The sequence below is a fragment of the Homo sapiens genome, chromosome 2 (genome assembly GCF_000001405.40).
Source record: "Homo sapiens chromosome 2, GRCh38.p14 Primary Assembly".
NCBI classification, from domain to species: Eukaryota; Metazoa; Chordata; class Mammalia; order Primates; family Hominidae; genus Homo; species Homo sapiens.
This window is the reverse complement of record NC_000002.12, coordinates 135,890,871-135,899,526: the sequence shown is the minus strand read 5'-3', so window position 1 is coordinate 135,899,526 and position 8,656 is coordinate 135,890,871. Positions and strand designations below refer to the sequence as shown.

Sequence of the window (8,656 nt, the reverse complement as noted above, 5' to 3'; positions counted from 1 at the left end):
TGTGAAAATAAAGGAGTAGGGGGAAAGTCAATTATGCATTTGTCTCAGCTCAGTAAATCTGTATTTTGCATAAGATAAAATAAGCATGTGAAGTTACAGCCATCTGGGAACAAAAAAAGGTTTTTTGTGTGTGACTCAGTTCCCAAGTTTAACTTTTCCTTTGGCTTAGCGAGTTTGGGTTCCCAAGATTGTATTTTTCTTTCACAGTGTCTTAGATTTCCTCATCAGTACAGCAGAACCCACACCACCAGCCCCTGATGCTCTCTCTCCAGATGGGCTACATCTGCCATTTCTTCCCCTTGCTCAGCCGTAAAACGTTGTCCTTTTATCTTATCAGACCCGGGCAAACCTTCAACCCTCCTTTCCCCAGGCCTGCTTCTCTCTCCCAACACTTACAGGAATGAGTCTTCTCCTAAAACTGCTCAGGATCTTCCAAATACTCACCTGTCCATTCACTATATTGCAGGTTATTAAACCAGTGAAAAACGTGACCATCTTACTATCAAAACCACGTGGTTTTAGCGCCGTGGGAGGTGGGTGGGAGGGCAGCCACTCCTGGCTCGGGGCAGAGCCTGCGCATCCACTTGGACCTGCACACCTTCTACCACTCGTGGTACCAGAGCTTCAGCGTGAGGGCCACTGCATTCACTCGGACCCCAAGATCTCAGCCAGCTACCCCTACAGCCACCACAGCCCCCCAGACGACTTGGGCTCCAGCTTCTACACAGAGCTGGGGCCCTATGGCTCCTGGGACCCCAATGTCCTGGTCCCTTCCTGGTATACACCTGGCATGGCTGATGGTCACAGGGAACCCTCAGATGACCTGGTGCCTGCCATTCTGGACACCACCCATCAGTGCAGATCCAGATGACTGGATCCACATCTAACCCCACTTCCACATCCAACCCCACAAGGTCAGGATGACATCACTGTACATGACAACATCAAGTATATCATTGACGTGAATGGCTCCCATGGTGCATTTTATCCCTGTATAAGAACAGCATGGGCAAGAGCACCCCACTCTTTTATATCTATGACTCATACCTGACATCCCTTGAGGCCTGGACCCACCTCCTGACACCAAACAGCCCCCACTATGGGGTCTTCATAGCACTATTGGTGGAAGAGGGCCACACCTACGATGTCCTGGCCGCAGGGTTTGAAGGCATGTCCACCTACTTTGTCTCCAATGGATTCTCCTGGGGCTCCTCCCATCAGAAGTGGAAAGCTGTGAAGAACTTTTATGATGCCAACAACCTCATGTTCATTCCCAGCATGGGGCCTGGCTGCATAGACACTAGCATCCGGCCCTGGAACGACCACAATAGGGAGAAGAGGGTCAATGGCAAGGACTATGACAGGGCCTTGCAGGCGGCCGCGATGGTGACGCCCAAGATCAGCTCCATCACCTCCTTCAATGAGTGGCCCGAGGGCACCCAGATGGAGAAGACCACTCCCAAGAAGACACCCCCGCCTGTATTTGGACTACCTGCCTCCTCAGCACAGCCTGTACTTGGAGCTGACCCGCTGCTGGGCGAGCACTTCATCAAAGAGAAGGTGCAGTGGCTCAGGTGAGGGGCCTGTAAACAGGGGTGTGACGTGCTAATGCCCTTGTCTCTCCGGAAGAAGTCACCACATGGGGCTCAGCTGAGGTTGGAGGCACTCACTCCTTCCCATGTTGGCAGCTGAGTGCTTCTGGGTGGGCCCTCAGATAACCCAATTATCTGGAAATCATCCTGAGCACTCTCAGGTTCGTTGAACACTTGCTCCTCAAGCAACTTCCTATGTGCCAGGTGCCAGGGAAAGCTTGACCAAGGAGCAGTCCCTGTCCTGAAGCTTACAGGACCCAAGCTTTCCTTATCCGGTGCAGCCTTGTAGCTAGTGCCTGGGCACAGGTGTTTTTCTTTTTGCAGTTTTGCCTGGTGCTAGGAGTTCAGTTCTTTTTGCTCCAAAAAACACCTCTAAGTGGCTGGGCGCAGTGGCTCACACCTGTAATCCCAGCACTTTGGGAGGCTGAGGTGGGTGGATCAGGAGTTTGAGACCAGCCTGGCCAACATGGCGAAACCCCGTCTCTACTAAAAATACAAAAATTAGCCAGGCATGGTGGCAAGCACCTGTAATCCCAGCTACTCAGGAGGCTGAGGCAGGAGAATAGCTTGAACCTGGGAGGCAGAGGTTGCAGTGAGCCAAGATCATGCCATTGCACTCCAGATTGGGCGACAAGAGCAAGATTCTGTCTCAAAAAAAAAACCAAACCCAAGCCTCTGTGCTCCAGAGCCTACTTTTTCCCAGGTGCATATTTAGCTCCAGGGAGAGGACTAGGAGGACACCCCCCCTCCCTTTAGCTGCCTGAACTGAATGAGGCCCACTCACTAAAGCCACGTCCAGTGCTCCTGTGATTTGTGGTAATTAAATATGAACCGGTAATTTCGAAAAACACACACACACACACACACACACACACATGGTTTCACACCTAATTTTTCTCTAAAATTTGTTACTTTGTCTCTTTAACTAGGTTTTTTTGTTTTGTTTTGTTTTTTGGGGTCTTTTTTGAGACAGCATCTCACTCTGTTGCTCAGGCTAGAGTACAGTGGTGCCATCTTGGCTTACTGCAGCCTCTGCCTCCTGGGTTCAAGCAATTCTCTCGCCTCAGCCACCTGAGTAGCTGGGATTACAAGTGTGCACCACCATCCCCAGCTAATTTTTGTGTTTTTAGTAGAGATGGGGTTTCACCATGTTGGCCAGGCTGGTCTCGAACTCCTGACCTCAAGTGATCCACCCGCCTTGGCCTTCCAAAGTGCTGGGATTACAGGTGTGGAGCCCCCGTGCCCGGCCTCTTTTACTAGGTTTTAAACAATTTGGTGTAGCAGCGTGGAATCAGAAAACTTCAGGTTCAAATTCTGACCTGACACTAGGTGTGTAATTCTGAGCACAGAATTCACATCTGTAGAGTGGAGTTAACGATGCTTACCTTGAAAGATCATGAGGATTAAATGAGACCCATAAGTGAAGACTCTTCTACAGCTCCTGACATATAAAATATATTCACTAAACAGGTATTGTTGTTAATGCTACGGGTAGGGACCACATTTTAAACTTTTTTTTTTTTATTTTTCATACAGGGTCTCTCTCTGTCACCCAGGCTGGAGGGCAGTGGCAATCATGTCTCACTGCAGCTCGACCTCCTGGGCTCAAGTGATCTTCCCACCTCAGCTCCCAAGGAGCTAGGACTACAGGCACACGCTATCACACCCAGCTAATTTTTTATTTGTTGTAGAGAGGGAGTTTCACTATGTTGCCCAGGCTGGTCTCAAACTCCTGAGCTCAAGCAATCTACCTGCCTCAGCCTCTCAAAGTGCTGGAATTACAGGTGTGAGCCACCGTGTCCTGACCACATTTAAACTTTTTGTAGTCCCATATTCATAGCATAATGATGAGTATATGGCATGTGCCTGATATTACAAATTGATTGCTTGGTTTTGGGAGTTCAGAGATAAAGCTGGTAATAATAAACCAAACGTAAAATGTATTTATACTAGAAGTTTTATTTTTACATGCACATCTGACAGTTTATTATGTACATTTATGTCTGATAGTGTGTGTGAATATATTTAGTTGAGAGATGAAAATATGACCCATAGGCCTTTCTTAAAAATGAGCTAAGACACTTTGCAAAATCTTACCACTTTTTCTCTATAGTCTTTCTTCAAATCATTATGCATTAGCTTAATTAAAATGAGCTGGCAGACTCATAATTGCTACCCAGAATGTTAAACTGGTAGCTGCCACTATTTCTCATGGATAAAGATATCATACTCCTAGAGCAAGAAAATTCTCTGCTTTCAATGTCAGTAATATTGAAGGAACTCTTTTTTTTTTTTTTTTTTTTTTTTTTGAGGTGGAGTCTCACTCGGTTGCCCAGGCTGGAGTGCAGTGACAGGATCTTGGCTCACTGCAACCTCCGCCTCCCAGGTTCAAGCGATTCTCCTGCCTCAGCCTCCCGAGTAGCTGGGATTACAGGTGCCCACTACCACGCCCAACTGATTTTTGTATTTTTAATAGAGATGGGGTTTCACCATGTTGGCCAGGCTGGTCTCGAACTCCTGACCTTAAGTGATCCGCAAACCTCAGCTTCCCAAAATGCTGGGATTACAGGCGTGAGCCATTGCGCCCGGCTAGGAACTCTTCAAATACCTTTTTAAAACCTTATTCTTTAAAAATATTCAGCTTCCCTGGTGATCATGAATTGAAACAACAGTGAGGTGACAAACTGGCAATGAAAATAAAATATGCTTATTGTTCACCACAGGGTGGAGAATTGGGAGCTTTGAGGTGCTGTTGGTGGAGTATAAACATACATAATTTCAGGCAGGCAGTTTAGCTGTGTGTATCAAAATGTGAATATGCATATCCTTTAACCCAGTAATGCCTCTCTCTTAGAATTTAGCCCTAACTGGGTGGGGTGTCTGGCACCTGTGATCCCAGCTACTATGGAGGACTGAGGCAAGAGGATCGCTTGAGCCCAGGAGTTAAAATTAAAGGCTGCAGTGAGCTATGAGTGCACCACTGCATTCCAGCCTCAGTGTCTCAGTGACACAGCGAGACCCCATCTCTTAAAAAATAAAATAAAAAAAAAAAACGTATCCTAAGAATACAGGTGCACAAAACAAGATGTGTTTAAAGATATCTATTGTAGCATTGTTTATACCAGAGAAAGAAATGCAAACAACCTAAATGTCCATTAGTAGAGGATTAAATAATGCTATATCCATATTGTAGAATGTTAATCAGCCATTGAAAAGCACAGTACAAGAAGTCCTCACTTTGCATAATTATGTGGGACTCTAAAAATGACCATGCAAAGCAACGTTAATATTCAAAGGGTAAAATATGATTGTCCTATGATCTTTAAAAATTTTTGTCAAATGTTAAAAATTCCCTTACTGTTGGTTATAAGAATATAGAGAAATGAAAAAAATAGTGGCCAGGCACGGTGGCTCACGCCTGTAATCCCAGCACTTCGGGAGGCCAAGGCGGGCAGATCACGAGGTCAGGAGATCAAGACCATCCTGGCTAACACGGTGAAACCCCGTCTCTACTAAAAAATACAAAAAAATTAGCCGGGCGTGGTGGTGGGCACCTGTAGTCCCAGCTACTTGGGAGGCTGAGGCAGGAGAATGGTATGCACCCGGGAAGCAGAGCTTGCAGTGAGCCTAGATCATGCCACTGCACTCCAGCCTGGGTGACAGAGCGAGACTCCGTCTCAATAAAAAAGAAAAAAAGAAAAAATAGTGAAACTAATATTTATTTAGTGTACTATAATTTAAAACATTAGAAACATTGAAAATTAAAATGGTTTATGCCTTTGTAAAAAAAAATTATGAAGAGTAGTTTGAACAATGCTTCGCTTCTTGTGGTGTAACTTTCACTATAGAATGACTGTTTTTTTAAGAGACAGAGTCTCCCTATGTTGCTCAGGCTGGTCTTGAACTCCAGAGCTCAACCAATCCTTCTCCCTCGGCCTCCCGAATAGCTGCAACTACAGGCACGCACTGCTGCACCCAGCTTGGGGTGACCATTTCTTCTATGCTTTGGTGAATCGTCATACTCCATCCTACATTCAGATCAGCTTCCAATATTTTATCTGTTGTGCTTTCAAAACCATGAAATCTCTTCAAAATATTTTAATGTGAAGTTTTTTTGCTATTGTCACTTCCTCTAGGAAATCTTCATCCTTTCCATCACAACCTCTTTCCTCATTTATGGTATATACCTGGAGTTTCTCAAAGGTGGCAGTGTCGACACTCCCATGGTCAGCTCTTTCTTCTGCAATGTCATTTATGTTTGATGCAAATTTCACTTCCGGAGTTAACATATTTTGTTCCTTTGCTGCACTGTCATCTTTGTTGACTAATGCCCTCTTTTGAATATCTATTTTTAAAAATATCACATGGATTCATCAGTGAGAGTCATGGAGGCAACACAACTACACACTTTGCTGTCTGTGCATGAACTGAATAACATGTACAGTGACTGATCACCAATAGATTTTGAAAGAAATGACACAGCTGATCACTGATTATGACACACATCTGTTATTTATGGAGTAATTTCTGACCTGAAGAGGTGACAGTGTATTTTATGCAATTACTCACAATTAATATACCACAGTAACTGAAATTTGAACCATGTTGAGGGACTGATGTAATTTAACTTGACAGTGGTAACTGAAAATAATATATATCAGAACCACCCAAAGCAAGGACTACCTATATGTGTGTTCATTGTCATTGAAAGCTCTTCCTGTGAGCTGGACTTTCTCTGTTTGCCCTTGCTTTCTCCACTTACTGCCATTTTCCACTCTGCTGTGTGTCCTGGGAGGCCAACCTCTATGGACTGCATTAACCAAGCACCTTCCTTAATGGCTTCTAATTGGCTTTGGTCATTGGAAAACACCAACAGATCAAATGGAGGGAGAAGAGAAAGGTCAGGATATTTATTTTCTTTCTTTGCTGGACCACATTCTAGCCACAGCTACTTTCCTCTCCTGAAGGCCACAGCCTCCACTCTACCAGTACCCCTGCTTCTTAGACCCCACTAGCTGCTCCCTCTCTGCTCCTTCAGACCTAAAGGTGGTAGTAGCTTCCTGTGGTTGCTGGCTCTAGGGTACTTCACCAATCCTTTCTGTTTCCTTTAAAGCTTCCCAAATCTTTATGGCTTCTTTACATAACTTTTCAAGCATATTTTGTTTGAGTGTGCCATATGTTTCTGACCGACCCTGACCTAGATAACATATCATACTGCTCAGGGAAATTTATATGCACATATCCAAATAGTATATGCATTCGGAGTCTGAAAGGATGCAAGCAGTAACATTTTTAACCAATTTGCTTTTTCCCATCTGTTTGTAAAAGTAGATTACATATATTGATGGATTATTTGGGCTTCAAAATAGTTATTCATTTTTCTAATTTAGTCAAATCTATTATAGAAATTTCCAAATTAACTATTCTACCTTTTTTTTTTTTGAGACGGAGCTTCACTCTTGTTGCCCAGGCTGGAGTGCAATGGTGCAATCTCGGCTCACTGCAACCTCCACCTTCCGGGTTCAAGTGATTCTCCTGCCTCAGCCTCCCAAGTAGTTGGGATTACAGGCATGTGCCACCATGCCTGGCTAATTTTGTATTTCTAGTAGAAACAGAGTTTCTCCATGTTGGTCAGGCTCATCTCGAACTCCCAACCTCAGGTGATCTGCCCACCTCAGCCTCCAGCCAACTATTCTACTTTTTAACATATTCAGTCAGATCTATATTTGAATGAGTGTTCTTGTAAGTCTGTTCTAACAAAGAAGAGCAGATCATGCAGCAATTCATATTTAAAAATTGCTAGCCAGGCGCGGTGGCTCACGCCTATAATCCCAACACTTTGAGAGGCCGAAGCAGGAGGATCGCTTGAGGTCAGGAGCTCAAGACTAGCCTGGGCAATGTAGCAAGACCCTGTCTCTACCAAAAATAAAAAAAATTTAGCTGGGCATGGTGGCACATGCTTGTAGTCCCAGCTACTCAGGAGGCTGAGGCAGGAGGATTGCTTGATCCCAGGAGTTCAAGGCAGCAGTAAGCTGACTCCAGCTGGGGCAACAGAGCAAGACCTTGTCTCTTAAAAAATGAAAAAGAGAAAGAAATTGCTGATCAGAGACAAGTTTCTGGAAGTAAATAAGATTAGCTGTTGTCTTCTTTCTTAGCGTAACTCAGAACCTGCTTTCTTTTGTAACAGACTCCCACATCTGGACTGTCACTGGGTCCAATTTGGGAGAGCTAACATTTCCACTTTGCAAGAAAACAGCCAACATCCACACTCAGCTTTAGTGCTGCTGACTGGTTATTGGCCACAGCCTCCACATAGCAAACTTAACATTTGCTTCAGAATGAGACTCAGTTGATTTTTTTACTTATGAGAAGCATTAAAATGCTAATTCTGAAATTCCTTTGTGTTCTTAGTATTGTCACCAGAATATTCAACGAGGCAAGCAAACATGGTGGGGCTAAACACATATACAAAATGGCTTTTGAAAATGCCTATGTAGATTTATCATTTGAAATGCTAAAGGTTCTGGGGTGTTTTTTTTTTTATTTTTATTTTTATTTTAAGGTGATAGGAAAGTAAAACATTTCTTGGATGTTTTTGAAGAAACCTATCATAAAAGAGCACCCTAAAGGAAGATTTGTTTACTGGAATTCCTTGCCTTTGCCTTTAAAAGTCTACCATTTCTACAGCGATAGCTGTAGAATGCACTCCACTGGTTTCACGTTTGTGAATTGTACTAGGCCATTTTTGCGTTGCTATAAAGGAATACCCGAGACTGGGTGATTTATAAAGAAAAGAGAACTAATTGGTTCATGGTTGTAATGAAGGCTGTAAGGAAGCATGTTGCCAGCATCTGCTTCTGGTGAGGGCCTCAGGAAACTGACAATCACGGTGGAAGGCAAAGGGGAAGCAGGCACATGACATGGGAGGAAGAGAGGACAGAGATGCCACACACTTAACCAGATCTCACATGAACTCAGAGTGAGAACTCACTCATCAGCAAGGCGATGGTGCTAAACCATTCATGAGGGATCTGCTTCCATGATCCAAACACCTTCCACCAGGC

General features: G+C 44.3%; 1 pseudogene, besides 1 other annotated feature; it reads left to right on the top strand.

Annotated features, from left to right (window-relative positions):
• Positions 131-630: an enhancer, noted in NCBI's record as "H3K4me1 hESC enhancer chr2:136656467-136656966 (GRCh37/hg19 assembly coordinates)". NCBI's record gives its function as "activates a minimal SCP1, AML or CMV promoter by ChIP-STARR-seq in naive H9 embryonic stem cells {active_cell/tissue: H9 hESC(naive)}" and the evidence as "EXISTENCE:reporter gene assay evidence [ECO:0000049][PMID:30033119]".
• Positions 555-1,714, top strand: MANEALP1 (MANEAL pseudogene 1; annotated as a pseudogene).